Source organism: Homo sapiens, chromosome 10, assembly GCF_000001405.40.
Source record: "Homo sapiens chromosome 10, GRCh38.p14 Primary Assembly".
NCBI lineage: Eukaryota > Metazoa > Chordata > Mammalia > Primates > Hominidae > Homo > Homo sapiens.
In genome coordinates, this window is record NC_000010.11 from 69,299,658 (window position 1) to 69,316,030 (window position 16,373).

General features: G+C 46.5%; 1 protein-coding gene and 1 pseudogene across 10 annotated transcripts in view, besides 1 other annotated feature; one reads left to right on the top strand and one right to left on the bottom strand.

Annotated features, from left to right (window-relative positions):
- The window catches only part of HK1 (hexokinase 1), a 131,883-nt gene that overhangs the window by 29,658 nt on the left and 85,852 nt on the right, over nt 1-16,373 (top strand). The window contains exon 5 of one of the 10 annotated variants that reach the window (NM_033500.2): nt 1,112-1,204. The exons of 8 other annotated variants lie outside the window; for them this stretch is intronic. In NM_033500.2, the coding sequence (NP_277035.2) occupies nt 1,178-1,204 (27 nt within the window). In that variant the 5' untranslated portion in view covers nt 1,112-1,177. Of the gene's footprint in view, nt 1-1,111; nt 1,205-16,111; nt 16,358-16,373 lie in introns of those variants that run through there. One more of the 10 variants, NM_033496.3, reaches the window with a different exon arrangement.
- On the bottom strand, nt 736-1,190 carry RPS15AP28 (ribosomal protein S15a pseudogene 28; annotated as a pseudogene).
- Nucleotides 13,170-13,671: an enhancer, noted in NCBI's record as "NANOG-H3K27ac-H3K4me1 hESC enhancer chr10:71072583-71073084 (GRCh37/hg19 assembly coordinates)". NCBI's record gives its function as "activates a minimal SCP1, AML or CMV promoter by ChIP-STARR-seq in primed H9 embryonic stem cells {active_cell/tissue: H9 hESC(primed)}" and the evidence as "EXISTENCE:reporter gene assay evidence [ECO:0000049][PMID:30033119]".

A 16,373-nucleotide genomic window follows, 5' to 3' on the forward strand; every position in this document is an offset into this window, starting at 1 on the left:
CCAGCTTTGTTTGTGTTTTTTTGAGATGGAGTCTCACTCTGTTGCCTGGGCTGGAGTGCAGTGGCGCAATCTCGGCTCACTGCAACCTCTGGCTCCTGTGTTCAAGCAATTCTCCTGCCTCAGCCTCCCAAGTAGCTGGGATTACAGGCGCCTGCCACTACACCCAGTAATTTTTTGTACTTTTGGTAGAGATGAGGTTTTACCATGTTGGCCAGGCTGGTCTTGAACTCCTGACCTCATGATTCGCCTGCCTTGGCCTCCCAAAGTGCTGGGATTACAGGCCTCAGCCACCGTACCCGGCCTATTTTTAATTTTTTTTTTCAGTAGAGACAGGGTCTTGCCATGTTGCCCCGGCTGGTCTTGAACTCCTGAGCTCAAGCAATCCACCTGCCTCAGCCTCCCAAAGTGCTTGGATTACAGATGTGAGCCACCATGCCCGGCTGTTTAAGAAGTTTTAACACACGTATACACCTATGTAACCGTTGCCCAGTTCAAGATATAGAACATTTTCATCACCCCCCAAAATCCCTTCACAGTCTTTTCCAGTCAATACTTCCCATTTCCTGTCCTGACAGTATCACTATTCTGACTTCTATCACCAGAGCTTTTCCATTCTTGAACCTCATATAAATATAATCATACATATGTACTCTCTTGTGTCTGGTTTTAATATTTTAATGTTGCTGCATATATCAAAAGGTTATTCCTATGTAATTTTGTTTTTTGCTTTTTTTTCATGAGGCATTTTATTTGTAAATATGTATAACATCTCTAGAAAAAGAATCCCAGGATTTTCCTTCCTGTGTGTTTTCGTCTTGCTTCTTTATGGTCCATGATGCCAGCTGAGACTGTCAGTACAATGAAATCAAACTGGCCAGATGGAAGCAGATTATTCTGCATTTCTCTAGATCTTTGAGTTGCACATCAAATCTGGGGCTGATCATGCCACACTTGTTTAGACTGCCTGTGAGGTTCACAACAATTTGCCTAGCTCTGTGATCATCCATGATTTCAAATTCGCCAATATAACCATGCTTCATCATCACAGTGAGAAACCAGACGATGACTTTGGAGCATGGCCTAAGAACCTGGTGTTTGTCTCTCTTTTCAGCATTGTTGATGCTCTTGAGAGCATCAGCCAGGACATTAATGTGCACCACTGTGGTGGCGTGGAAAGATGGCAAAAAGAGCCCTGCATGATTTTGTACGTAGAAAATCCTGGAATACCCACAAAAACCTATTAGAACTAATAAACAATTTCAGCAAGGTTATAGGATACAAGGTTAATATACATAAATCAATTGTAGCCAGGCACGGTGGCTCACGCCTGTAATCCCAGCACTTTGGGAGGCTGAGGCAGGTGGATCACAAGGTCAGGAGTTCAAGACCAGCCTTGGTTTCAGACTGGTGAAACCCAGTCTCTACTAAAAATACAAAAATTAGCCGGGTGTAGTGTTGGGTGCCTGTAATCCCAGCTACTCGGGAGGCTGAGGCAGATAATTGCTTGAACCTGGGAGATGGAGGTTGCAGTGAGCCGAGATCACGCCACTGCACTCCAGCCTGGGTGACAGAGCAAGACTCCATCTCAAAAAAAAAAAAAAAAATTAAATTGTACTTCTTCTATAAAATTGCAATGAACAATATAAAAATGAAATTAAGAAAACAATTCCTGGCTGGGTGTGGTGGTGAGTGGGTCACCTGAGGTCAGAAGTTTGCAACCAGCCTGGCCAACATGGTGAAACCCCATCTCTACTAAAAATACAAAAACTAGCCAGTTGTGGTGGCACACACCTGTAATCCCAGCTACTCGGGAGGCTGAGGCAGGAGAATTGCTTGAACCTGGGAGGTGGAGGTTGCAGTGAGCTGAGATCACACCAGTGTACTCTAGCCTGGGTAACAGAGTGAGACTCTGTCTCAAAAAAAAAAAAAAAAAAAAAAGAAAAGAAAACAATTCCATGTATAATAGCATCAAAAAGAACAAATTACTTAGGAATAAACAAGAGAAGTATAGACTTTTACTCTGAAAACTACAAAGGATTGTTGAAAGAAAATAAAGAAGATCTAAATTAATGGAAAGACATCCCATGTTCATGGATTGGAAGACACTATTGTTAAGGTGGTAAACTCCCCAAATTAATATATAGATTCAACCCAATTCCTATGAAAATCTCAGCTGGCTTCTTTGCAGAAATTGACAAGCTGCTTCTAAAATTCATATGAAAATGGAAGGGGTGCCGAATAGCCAAAACAATCTTGAATAAGAAGAAAGAGAACTCACATTTCCTGATTTCAAAATTTTAAAAGCAGGCTGGGTGTGGTGGCTCACACTTGTAATCCTAGAACTTTGGGAGGCCGAAACAGGTGGATCACCTGAGGTCAGGAGTTCGTGACCAGCCTTGCCAACATGGTGAAACCCCATCTCTACTAAAAATACAAAAAATTAGCCAGGCGTGGAGGTAGGTGCCTGTAATCCCAGCTACTTGGGAGGCTGAGGCAGGAGAATCACTTGAACCTGGGAGGCAGAGGTTGCGGTGAGCTGAGATCACACCATTGCACTCCAGCCTGGGCAACAAGAGCAAAACTCCATCTCAAAAAAAGAAAAAAAAAACTTATAAAGCTACAGTAATCAAGACAATGTGATACTAACATTAGGATAATTATATAGCTGCATGAACTGAAATTGAGAGTTCAGAAATAAACCCTTACATTTATGGTATAATGATTTTTTTTTTTTTGAGACAGAGTCTCACTCTGTCGCCCAGGCTGGAGTGCAGTGGTGCGATCTCAGCTCACTGCAATCTCCGCCTCCCGGGTTCACACCATTCTCCTGCCTCAGCCTCCCAGGTATAATAATTTTTGACAAAGATGTGAAAACAATTCAATGGGGAAAGAAAAGCCTTTCAACAGATGGTGCTAAGACTCTGTCTCTACAAAAAGTAATTTTAAAATTTCCTGAGAGTGGTGGGGTGCATCTGTGGTCCCAGCTACTTGGGAGGCTGAGGTGGGAGGATCACTTGGGCCCTGGAAGGTCAAGGCTGCAGTGAGCTGTGATTGATCCACTGCACTCCAGCCTGGGCAAAACTATGGGACCCTGTCTCAAAAAAAAAAAAAAAAAAAGTTTGTAGGTTTCATTTGTTTGCTTTGTTTGTTTGTTCTGAGATACATTTACAGGTAGAATTCTTAGGGTTTGGTAACAGGTTACATGTGGAGCCCATGGGAGTGGAAGGAGTTCAAGGATGATGGCAGATTTTCAGCAGAGGCGATGAGGGGCTAGTTCTGCCTGGAACACTCTTTTCCTAGACACTGGCATAGTGTCCCTCATCTTATTCTGGTTTCTGCTCAAATGCCGCATCTTCAGAGGTCCTTCCCTGTCCATCCTGACTAAAATGAAATCCCTACCCTTTATTTGTTCAACGTGTGTATCAGTTAGTATTAGATTTGGCTGGCAGTAACAGAAAACTCCAAAATAGCATTTGGATAAACACATTGGAATTTTGTTTTTCTCTCAAATTTTAGAAATATAGAGGTAATGTGGTGGGGGGAGGGGGGAGGCTGATATGGGGCAGCTTGATGACAAGGATGCAGGTTCTATTCTATTTTGTTGCTTTGTTTTGTATGGGCATCATTCCCAGAGTTATCTCTTTTTTTTAATTAGAATAACACACATGTATTATCTACGATTTTTGTAACCACCCAGAGGGTTCACTTTGCCCACTGCCTAGACAGAGCTGATTTATCAAGGTAGAGAATTGCAATAGAGAAAGAGTAACTCATGCAGAGCTGGCTGTGTGGGAGACCAGAGTTTTATCATTACTCAAATCAGTTTCCCCAGGACTATTTCTCTATTGCAATTAAATCCATGCACCATGGGTCAGCAGTGACCGGCCTGTAGAGACAGTAGCGGAGTCAACCCCCAGTCCAAGAGAAGTAGGCGGCCACTTGGACTGGCCTCTGGATCCGTCACCAGAGGGAGGCTACCGAACCAGGATTACCCTTATGGCAGGTAGTCTTAAGGGCAATCCTGGACAAGCTCCCAAACTTGTAACCGCCCAACAGGTTCACCTTGCCCACTGCCTAGACAGAGCTGATTCATCAACAGGGGAATTGCAATAAAGAAGGAGTAATTCACTCAGAGTCACCTTTGCGGGAGACTGGGGTTTTACTATTACTCAAATCAGTCTCCTTGAGCATTTGGGGATTGGAGTTTTAAGGATAATTTGGTGGGTAGGAAGCAGCCAGTGAGTCAGGAGTGCTGATTGGTTGGGTCAGAGATGAAATCATAGGGAATTGAAACTGTCTTGCACTGAGTCAGTTTCTGGCTGGGGGCCACAAGATCAGATGATCCAGTTTATCAATCTGGGGGGTGCCAACTGATCCATCAAGTGCAAGGTCTGCAAAATATCTCAAGCACTATCTTAGGCTTTACAATAGTGATGTAATCCCCAGGATCAATTTGGGAGGGTCAGAATCTTGTAGCCTCCAGCTGCATGACTCCTAAACCATAATTTCTAATCTTTTTGCTAATTTGTTAGTCCTTCAAAGGCAGTCTGATCTCCAGACAAGAAGAGGGTTTGTTTTGGAAAAGGGCTGTTATCATCTTGTTGTATTTTTATTTTTATTATTTATTTATTTATTTATTTATTTATTTATTTATTTATTTATTTTTGGGGGACAGAGTCTCGCTCTATCGCCCAGAATGGAGAGCAGTGGCCCAGTCTCGGCTCACTGCAACCTCTGCCTCCTGGATTCAAGCGATTCTCCTGCCTCAGCCTCCCAAGTAGCTGGGATTACTGGCGCCCGCCACCACACCCAGCTAATTTTTGTATTTTTAGTAGAAGCAGCGTTTCACCATGTTGGCCAAGCTGGTCTCGAACTCCTGACCTCAAGTGATCCGCTCGCCTTGGCCTCCCAAAGCGCTAGGATTACAGGCGTGAGCCACTGCGCTCAGCCTCATCTTTGTTTTAAACTATAAACTAAGTTCCTCCCAAAGTTAGTTCAGCCTATGACCGGGAATGAACAAGGACAGCTTGGAGGTTAAAAGCAAGATGGAGTTGGATAGGTCAGATCTTTCACTGTCTCAGTAATATTTTGCCATGGGTGTTTCATGTTTGTGGGTCAGGAGTTGGGATAAGCTGAGCTAGGTGTCCTGCCTTGGGTCATGCTTTCCTGCTCATGTGGTTGTTTGCAGCGTTCGGTTCCTTGTAGCTGTAGGATTCACATCTTGCTTCTTCTGAGAGGCCTGGAGGCTAGAAGTCCAAATTCAAGGTGTTGGCAGGCTTGTGCTCCCTCTGAATCTTGGAGAAGAAGACCCTCCCTTGCCTCTTCCAGCTTCCAGTGGCCCCAAGCGTTCCTTGGCTTGTGGCAGCATCACTCCCATCCCTGCCTGCATCTTTGTATGGTCATCTTCTTTCTGTGTATGTCCCTTCACATGGCGTTCTCCCTGTGTGTCCCAAGGTTATCTCATAATCCAAGATGATTGCAGGATCTCCAGCCACTCTGCCTGTCCTCCAGTCAGCGGGAAGGAGGAATGGCAAAGAAGCAGGAAAGCCACAGAATAGCTGTGTCTCTTAAGGGAGGCTCCAGAAGCTACTGAGACACTCTCACTTTCATCTCTGGCCAGAGCTTGGTCACATGCCTGCATCCGACTATAGGGGAGGCTGGAAATGGAATCTTTATTCTGGGAGGCCTGAGTTCACCTAAAAATTGGAGCATTGATTAGTTTATTAGGACAAAGGGGAAATGGATATTGTGGGATACAGCTGTGTCAGCTGCGCCTGCCTTTTCTCCTAGTGCCTGGCCTAATGTATATTTAATTAGCCATTTGTTTACCATCTGTCTCTCCCGATCAGAATGTGGGCTGTGTAAAACCAAAGAAGAAAACTGAGGTACCAGTTAAAAAAAAAGAAAAAGAAGAAGGCTGGGTGTGGTAGTTCACACCTGTAATCCCAACACTTTGGGAGGCCAAGGCAGGCAGATCACCTGAGGTCAGGAGTTCGAGACCAGCCTGGAACATGGTGAAACCCTGTCTCTATTAAAAATACAAAAAATTAGCCAGGTGTGGTGGCATGCACTGTAATCCCAGCTACTCGGGAGGCTGAGGGAGGAGAATCGTTTGAACCCGGGAGGCAGAGTTTGCAGTGAGCCGAGATGATGCCACTGCACTCCAGCCTGGGCGACAGAGTGAGACTCTGTCTCAAAAAAAACAAAAAACAAAACAAAAAAAACAACAAAAAAAAATAAGAAAAAGAAAAAAAGAAGAAGAAAATGACTGAGGCGAGTCTCAATCAATTTAGAGTTAATTTTGCCAAGGATGAGAATATGCCCAGAAAAAAGAGACATAAGCCACAGTAGGATCTGTGACCCACACTTTTTCCAAAGAGGGTTTGAGGACTTCAATATTTAAAGAGGAAAGGGTGGGGCTGGGCACGGTGGCTCACGCCTGTAATCCCAGCACTTTGGGAGGCCAAGGCGGGCAGATCATGAGGTCAGGAGATTGAGACTATCCTGGCTAACAGTGAAACACCGTCTCTACTAAAAATACAAAAAAAAAATTAGCCACGCATTGTGGCGGGCACCTGTAGTCCCAGCTACTCAGGAGGCTGAGGCAGGAGAATGGTGTGAATCCGGGAGGTGGAGCTTGCAGTGAGCTGAGATCGCACCAGTGCACTGCAGCCCGGGCGACAGAGTGAGACTCTGTCTCAAAAAAATAAAAATAAAATAAAATAAAAAATAAATAAATAAAATAAAAAATAAAGAGGAAAGGGTGAGCAGTGCAGGAAAGAGGAAAGGGAAAAAAGGGAAGGGTAGATAAAAGAGACAAGGGGTTGCATTCTTTTGAGACTTTGATTAGCTTAGTGTTCCCTGAACCCACAGTTCACATGTGAAATGAGGAGGGTGGAGGAACAGTCAGCTATGCATTCATACTCAGTGAATGTGCATTTTTACATAAGTAAAGTAAGCATAGAATAAAGGAAGCAGTCAAATATGCGTTTGGCGCAGGTGAAGGAAGGGATAACTTCTAGTCCAGTCCTTGTCCTGTACCTGTGATGGTAAGCTGTCAGTGTACATTGTTTGGGTGAAATTCAACAGAATTCTGTTTTAGGGTAAAGGGATTTCCTCATGAGCAAATTGTGAGGGAAGCCCCCTGGGAAGATATGTGGCCTACCTTTGCAGCTACCTATGTAGGGACAAAATGGGAGGTGTTTTGGGTGACACAGTTCCCAAGCTAAACACTTTCCTTTGGCATAGGGAGTTTGTTGGATTTTTGGGTTGTTCACCACATTTCCAGTGACTAGGAAAGTGCAGGGCAGATTAGGTGTTTCACAAATATGTGTTGGGTGAATAAATGACAAGGAGGGGAATTGAGAAGAGTAAGTTTAAGGAGAAGAACATGACTGTGTTGGAAGATACTGAGTTTCGGGTGCCCATGGGACATATAAGACTTGATTCTCATAGGCAGCTGGAAATATAATCACGAACTTGGGAGGGAGATGTGGCTGAAGCCCTTGACAAGAGTGATTCTTTGGGAAGGGCATAGCGAGACAGACCTACAGAAAACAGCGAGAGAGGAGACATACTCAGCCCACTCAGTGGAATCAACCCAAGCCAGAAGTCTCCACCCCCACCCCCCGGGGGAGGGCAACTTCTTCCATAACCCACTTATAGCCCCTCTGGCCTTGCAGATCTGCCTCTCTGTTTGGTTTGAGAATTCCCCTTATAAAGGAACTCTGCAGGGCCCAGATCCACTTGCCACGCTTTAGGAATCTAAGCCACGACTCAGTCTCCTCGGTGCAGGTTCTTGGACCCCTTCACTGGACCTGAGTGAAATAAGAGAAATAAGGACAATATAGTAAAATAAATATTGCATTTTGTCGGAATGACAAGGTGGGCTGGAGACACACTGCCTTGGCTTGGATCCCAGCTTTTCCATTCAGTTGCTGTGTGACCTTGAGAAAGTCACTTAATCACCCCGTGATTCAGTTTCCTCATCTATAAAATGGGGATATTACGAGTATCCACCTCATTGTGTTGTTTTAAGGATCAATCAGTCAATAAATAAGTAAATAATTTAGAACAATGGTGTATAGTAAGTTCTACCTAAGTGCTAGCTATTAATATAAAGCCAAATGTATTTAGCTTACAAAGCAACCATTATTTTTACTTCTCTGTTTTAAAATATATTTTCTTTTCTTTTTTTTTGAGATGGAGTCTCACTCTGTCAGCCAGGCTGGAGTGTGGTGGCACGATCTCGGCTCATGGCAACCTCTGCCTCCCCGGTTCAAGTGATTCTCCTGCCCCAGCCTCTGGAGTAGCAGGGACTATAGGTGCACACCACACGCCCAGCTAATTTTTTGTATTTTTAATAGAGACGGGGTTTCATCATGATTGCCAAGCTGGTTTTGAACTCCTGACCTCAAGTGATCGACCCACCTCAGCCTCCCAAAGTGCTAGGATTACAGGTGTGAGCCACCACGCCCCGCCTAAAATATATTTTCTTTTAGGAAAGCGGTTCCCAACCTTTATGGCACTAGGCACTGGTTTTGTGGAAGACAATTTTTCCACAGACCCGTGTGTGTGTGGGGATGGTTTCGGGGTGAAACTGTTCCACCTCAGATCATTATGCAGCAGGACAAGCTGCAGACAAAACTCCTCAGACACCGAGTTAAAGAAGGAAGCGGTTTATTCAGCCAGGAGCATCGGCAAGACTCCTGTCTCAAGAGCCGAGCTCCCCGAGTGAACAATTCCTGTCCCTTTTAAGGGCTCACAACTCTAAGAGGGTCCTTGGGAGAGGGTCATGATTGACTGAGCAAGCAGGGGGTATGTGACTGGGGGCTGCAGGCACTGGTAATCAGAACAAAACAGAACAGGACAGGGATTTTTACAATGCCTTTCCATACAATGCCTGGACTCTATAGATAACATAAACGGTTAGGTCAGGGGTCGATCTGTAACTACCAGGCTTAGGTCAGGCAGGGCCAGGCCTGGTTTCGGGTCTGGTTCCTTGCTTTCGGGTCTGGTTCCTGGGCGCCAGGCTACCTGCCTTTAGTTTTGCTTCTCTTTCTTTTTCTGAGTATAAAACAATATGAGAGGGTCTGTCTCTCTTCTCTCAATTAGGCACTAGATTCTCATAAAAAGTGCACAATCCAGATCCTTTGGATGAGCAGTTCACAATAGGGTTTGTACTCCTACAAGAATCTAATTGCACTGCTGATCTGACAGGAGACAGAGCTGAGGCGGTAATGCTCGCTCACCTGCTGCTCACCTCCTGCTGTGAAGCTCAGTCCCTAACAGGCCACAGACCAGTTGGGGACCCTACTTTAGGAAATTATGATTATAGGATATGAAAATCATACACCTAAAAAAGATCCTGGTCTGGCATGGTGGCTCATGACTGCTAATTCCAGCACTTTGGAAGGCCAAGTCAGGAGGATTGCTTGAGCCCAGGAGTTCGAGATTGCAGTGAGCTATGATCATACCACTGCACTTTAGCCTAGGTGACAGCAAGACTTTGTCTCTTTTCTTTCTTTCTTTTTTTTTTTTTTGAGACAGAGTCTCGCTCTGTCCCCTAGGCTGAAGTGCAATGGCATGATCTCGGCTCACTGCAAGCTCCGCCTGCTGGGTTCACGCCATTCTCCTGCCTCAGCCTCCCCAGTAGCTGGAACTACAGGCACCCGCCACCACGCCCGGCTAATTTTTTGTATTTTTAGTGGAGATGGGGTTTCACTGTGCTAGCCAGGATGGTCTCGATCTCCTGACCTTGTGATCCGCCTGCCTCGGCCTCCTAAAGTGCTGGGATTACAGGTGTGAGCCACCGCGCCTGGCATGACTTTGTCTCATTAAAAAAAAAAAAAAAAAAAAAAAAAAAGCCGCGAGGTGGCTCATGCCTGTAATCCCAGCGCTTTGGGAGGCTGAGGTGGGCGGATCATGAGGTCAGGAAATTGAGACCATCCTGGCTGACACGGTGAAACCCCATCTCTACTAAAAATACAAAAAATTAGCTGGGCGTGGTGGTGTGCACCTGTAGTCCCAGCTCCTCGGGAGGCTGAGGCAGGAGAATCACCTGAACCCGGGAGGCGGAAGTTGCAGTGAGTTCAGATTGCACCACTCGGCCAGGCGAGGTGGCTCACTCCTGTAATCCTAGCACTTTGGGAGGCCGAGGCAGGCAGATCACCTGAGGTCAGGAGTTTGAGACTAGCCTGACCAACATGGTGACACCCCATCTCTACTAAAAATACAAAAAAAATTAGCCGGGTGTTGTGGCGCATGCCTGTAATCCCAGCTACTTGGGAGGCTGAGGCAGGAGAATTGCTTGAACCCGGGAGGCGGAGGTCACAGTGAGCCGGGATCACGCTACTGCACTCCAGCCTAGGCAACAAGAGCGAAACTCCATCTCATAAAAAAAAAAAAAAGAGATTGTACCACTGAACTCCAGCCTGGGTGACGGAGTGAAACTCCATCTAAAAAAAAAAAAAAAAAAATCTGGCCAGGCATGGTGGCTCACACCTGTAATCCCAGTACTTTGGGAGGCCAAGGCAGGCAGATCACTTGAGGTCAGGAGTTCGAGACCAGGCTGGCCAACATGGCAAAACTCCCTCTCTATTAAAAACACAAAAATTAGCCGGGTGTGGTGGTGGATGCCTCTAATCCCAGCTGCTTGGGAGGCTGAGGCATGAGAATCGCCTGAACCCATCAGGCAGAGGTTGCAGTGAGCCGAGATCGTGCCACTGAACTGCAACCTGGGTGACAGAGCCAGACTTTGTCTCAAAAAAAAAAAAAAAAAAAAAATCCTTTCTAAGCCATATAAAAACTCAGAATCTAATTTTTGTTTATATGTTTAACTTGCTGACCCATGTCATCTTAGAGCCTAGGAACCCTGCCTAGGTGTTGACATGAACTCTGTGTGAGCATTTTCCAGTATATCTTGGTGCTGTTGATAAAGAGTCAGTCTGTAAAATATTTGAAGAGATTATTCTGAGCCAAATATGAGCAGCCAGTAGCCCATGACACAGCCCTCAGGAGATCCTGAGAACATGTGCCCCAAGCAGTCAAACTACAAGTTTATTCATTTCAGGAAGACAATAAAATATCAGTCAATACATGTAAGAGGTACATTGGTTGGCTGGGCCTGGTGGCTCATGCCTGTAATCTCAGCACTTTGGGAGGCTGTGGCAGGCGGATCACCTGAGGTCAGGAGTTCGAGACCAGCCTGGCCAAAATGGTGAAACCCTGTCTCTACTAAAAATACAAAATTTAGCTGGGCATAGTGGCAGGCACCTGTAATCCCAGCTACTCAGGGGGCTGAGGCAGGAGAATCACTTGAACCTGGGAGGCGGAGGTTGCAGTGAGCCGAGACTGCACCACTGCACTTCAGCCTGGGCAACAGAGTGAGACTCCGTCTCAAAAAAAAAAAAAAGTGATAAGGGGTTGTGGAGACCAAGGTTTTATACAGATGAAGCCTCCAGATAGCAGGCTTCAGAGAAAAGATTGTAAATGTTTCTTATTAGACTTAGAGAGTCTGTTCTATTCTATCAGTCTGTTGATGTTAATGCTGGTCGGATGGGACTGAATTCCAAAAGGGATGAAGGTATGATGAAGTATGTCTGACACCCCCATTCCATCATGGCCTGAGCTAGTTTTTCAGGTTAACTCTTGAATGCCCTGGCTGAGAGGAGAGGTTGAATCAGATGATGAGGAGGATGGTGGGTTAGAATTTTATTTGTGGTTTACAATGCTAACTCGAAGGAAAGGATTGAGGACTTTTTCCTGGCCCTGTGAAGGTCGTTGTGTGTGGGTGCTGGGAGAACTATCCCAGGAAACTCAGGGTAACTGGCAAGGTGATTTGAGATTGCTCTGGTCCAAAAGATAACGATTTCATTTGGGGAAACCATTTCCTTTGGAGAGCTGGCTGAGATAAGGAGCTAGTCTGAAGCCTGGGAAGGCCTCAACAATCTGGTTAACCCTTCCTCCTCCAGGATACAATTCTTTCTTTTTTTTTCTGAGACGGAGTCTTCCTCTGTTGCCCAGGCTGGAGTGTAGTGGCACAGTCTTGGCTCACTGCAACCTCCACCTCCTGGGTTCAAGCAATTCTCCTGCCTCAGCCTCCCGAGTAGCTGGGACTATAGGTGCATGCCACCACGTGCAGCTAATTTTTGTGTTTTTAGTAGAGATGGGATTTCATCATATTGGCCAGGCTGGTCTAGAACTCCTGACCTCGTGATCCGCCTGCCTCGGCCTCCCAAAGTGCTGGGATTATAGGCGTGAGCCACCGCGCTCGGCCCAAGCTACAGTTCTTTACGCCTATGACTTTTGTCAGGCTCAGAGGCAATTTAATGAGGATGGGATGTCTAGAAAGGGACAGGGTGGGACTCGGATTTCCTTGGCTCTTCTGAGGAACTTTTACCTTCAAAGGGGAGTAGAAGCCACTGCAGGGTGGAAGGAAAACTTCCGCTTCCCCCTCCGTGAATTTGCTGAAAAGTCAACAGACAAAAGACGATTAAGAGAAAAGGCATACACATTTTCTAATATGCCTAGAAGAAAACACAGTGATTACCCTAACCCTTCAATGGAGTACAGAAGCTTATATAGCCTTTTATTTCTGAGACAGAGGCTCACTCTGTCGCCCAGGCTGGAGGGCAGTGGCATGAGCTTGGCTCACTGAAATCTCTGCCTCCCAGGTTCAAGTGATTCTCCTGTCTAAGCCTCCTGAGTAGCTGGGATTACAGGCTTGCACCACCACGCCCAGCTAATGTTCGTGGTTTTAGGAGAGAGATGGAGTTTCACCATGTTGGCCAGCCTGGTCTGGAACTCCTGACCTCAAGTGATCCACCCGCCTCGGCCTCCCAAAGTGCTGGGATTACAGGCGTGAGCCACCGTGCCTGGCCATATAGCCCTTTTTTTTTTTTCTGAAGCTGGTAAGGAGATGGGGAATATGCTAATTCTGTAATTCTGCATGATTTCTCAGGAGAAAGAAGGGATCAGAGAATTGAGATTAACTTGTAAATGGCTCTCTTTGGAAACTGAATAAGCCCGAGAGACAGACAGGCATTTTATCCCTCTAGGGGTGGTGACATTCTTCAGTCTTCTTTTCTGCAATAGAGAATCAGATAACGGGAAGGGGAAGGGAAAAAATTGTTCCCCCAGGGGCATCCTTCTGGTCTTTTGGTCTTTCCCCTTTGGAGGTGGGGCAGTCTCTTCCAGTGTCTGTTGATCTTTAAGGGCCTTTCATTCAAAATACTCTTTACACAAGGGAGCCGTATTTTGGGGTGAATTATGTTGGTTTCCTTCACCTCCTTGGGAGGTGGGAAATGTGTCCTGAAAGGTCAGGGCCTCTCTGAGTGGAGATGAACAGGTCAGGGTTGAGTAAGGAGGAGGCTGGCAGGGGCCTTTATGATACCTGAGAGGACTGGGGCTTGGATGGAGCAAGAGAGGCACTGATGGAGTAAGATTCAGGTACAAGACTTAAGTCTTGCATCCTAGGCACGGCTCTTGCCTCATCCTCATCCCAGCCCTAATAATGGGAGGCTTTTTGCCGGTAAATTCCCATTATTAGGAGCTGAAAATGTCAATGCCTTACAGGCGCCAGTCAGCAGTGTCAAGCAGTGGGCTGGGTGGGGCCTGGGCTGGCTGGAGCTCCCCTACCCTGTCTAAAGGGGGCGGTGGCTGCTCAGCTCCAGCATATGCGGGGAAGGCGCTGGCTAAGATAAGGAGCTAGTGCCATGATGACCACGTTGCCACAGGATCAAGTGGGTCCTGTGTGGTGTCACCTTTAGGTGCCTGAAATCTAGATTTTATTTTATTTATTTTATTACTATACATATTTTTTGAGACGGAATTTCGCTTTTGTGGCCCAGACTGGAGGGCAATGGCGCAATCTCGGCTCACCACAACCTCTGCCTCCCGGGTTCAAGCGATTCTCCTGCCTCAGCCTCCCAAGTAGCTGGGATTACAGGCGTACACCACCATGCTGAGTAGCTGGGATTACAGGCATGTGCCACCATGCCTGGCTAATTTTGTATTTTTAGTAGAGATGGGGTTTCTCCATGTTGGTCAGTCTGGTCTCGAACTCCCGACCAGATGATCCGTCTGCCTCAGCCTCCCAAAGTGCTGGGATTACAGGCGTGAGGCACCGGCCTGAAATCTAGATTTTAAAGTGAAATTTCTTAATTTTTTTTTAAGGGCAGGCACAAATTTATAAAACATCAGGTGGGCCAAATAAAATGTTACAGGCCACAGTTTTAGCTTGGTGGTTGCTGATTTACTGACCCTGTTATAATATTGGAGGTCAGGACTTTGGGCAAATGAAAGAGAAAAGGAGGCAGACTGAGAATGTGATTTTACAACTCCAGCCTCTCCAGGGGCTGGGTGGCCAGTGTCTCCTCAGCAGCCTTCTCCCGCAGGAAGCAGAACTGTCTGCAACGCTGATGGAGTCACAGTAACCTTCACCCCACTGAGCTCAGGATCTGCAGAGCCACTAAGACCCTGGAGCAACTGCCTTCAGCATCCAACAGAAGCTGCTAAAAGGATTATGGGTCAATTCATTTTAGACATTTCTTCCAGATGTTCCCATGGAAAGCTAGGGTCTAAATCAGTGGTCCTCATTCCTGGCAGCACCTGAGTTTCACCTGGGGAACTGTTAGAAAGTGAAACTTGGACGGCATTCACATTAGTCCAGTCTCTGGGTGGGGCTTGGACATCAGCATTTGTAGAAGCTCCCTAGGTGGCTTTGGTGCAGCCAGGTTGGAAACCACTGATCCAACTAATAGAAATGCTAGGTTGGGATCTCTTCCGAGGCATCTCTTTAGGACAGGCTGTGCATGACAGTCCCATAGTGTCAGGGTTCTAAGATGCTCCAATGGTTTAGGCACTGGTCTTAATTTTCGTTTTTTCGCTCTCTTTGAGACCTTAACAAACTCTATAGGGCTGGGCACAATGGCTCACGTCTATAATCCCAGCATTTTTTTCTTTTTTTCTTTTTCTTCTTTCCTTTTCTTTTCTCTTCTCTTCTCTCTTTTCTTTTCTTTCTTTTTTTCTGAGACTGTCTCACTCTGTCGCCCAGGCTGGAGTGCAGTGGCACAATCTTGGCTCACCACAACCTCCACCTCCCAGGTTCAAGCGATTCTCTTGCCTAAGCCTCCCAAGTAGCTGGGACTACAGGCTCTTGCCACTATGCCCAGCTAATTTTTGTATTTTTAGTAGAGACAGGGTTTCACTATGTTGGCCAGGCTGGTCTCGAACTCCTGACCACGTGATCCTCCCACCTCAGCCTCCCAAAGTGCTGGGATTACAGGCGTGAGCCACTGCGCCTGGCCAATTCCAGCAGTTTTAGAGGTCAAGGCAAGAGGATCCCTTGAGTCCAGGAGTTCGAGACCAGCCTGGGCAACATGGCAAGACCTCATTTCAATTTAAGAAAAAAACCAAAACACCCAAGCTCTATAACCTTCACATCCTCATTGACTGATTAAGTGCAGATAATGATATTTGCCCTTCTAACCTCACCAGGCTGTTATCAGGAGAAATGAAGCAATAAATGAGAAATTGCTCTGCAAACTGTCAACGTTATGTAAACATTGCTATTCAGAGTGTGCTCCCAGGTGCGGGAGGTACAGCTGTTATCTGTTGGAGATCACTCCTGAAGTAACATTCCTAGTGCCATGGGTCAGATGGGAATTGGTACAGACATTCCAACTTAGAAGGCAGCCTTTATTGTCTTATAAGCAGGTGCGTTTCCTGGGGTGGCAGCCTGGCACTGGTCACTCCAACCCCAACTTGTGTAGGAGGTACCACAGTAAATGAGTAGAGAGAGTTCAGGGGACTTGAAGGGAAGTGGAGGGCCATCTGGAGAGGGAGGGAACTAAGGACTCCCTGTGGGTTGGGGTCTTCCTGAGGATCCAGGGAGTAACTGTCAAGGAGCCTTAGCAGGGATCTAAGAGCTATGCAAGAGCAAAAAGAGGCAAATTATTAAGGAAATTAGTGAAGTCAGCACTGGAACAACAGAGAGGGGACACAGCAGTGCAGCATGGGCCCTGGCCTCAGGAAGCTGTCTGATTGGGGCAGATAGGACCAGCCCCCTAGAAGACAGTCACCCATATCAGTTAGGCAGTCATGACTCAGTGTTACTTATCTGAGGCCCAGGTTGCATGAGGGGTTGGGGGTGGGATGGACAGAGCACTGGCTGGGCATCAGGACTAGGCTGGAGTCCTGGCTCAAAACTCTACCACAACCTGACACTGGGCAAGATGGCCCACCTGTGGCATCCCAGGTTCCTGCCCTGTAAAGAGGAGTCTGGGTGTATATCCAGATGGACTGTGAGCACAGCCTGAGTTTGCCCTGTCGAGGTGCTGAGGCCTGGGAGATTGGGGTGAGTAGCTGTGGTC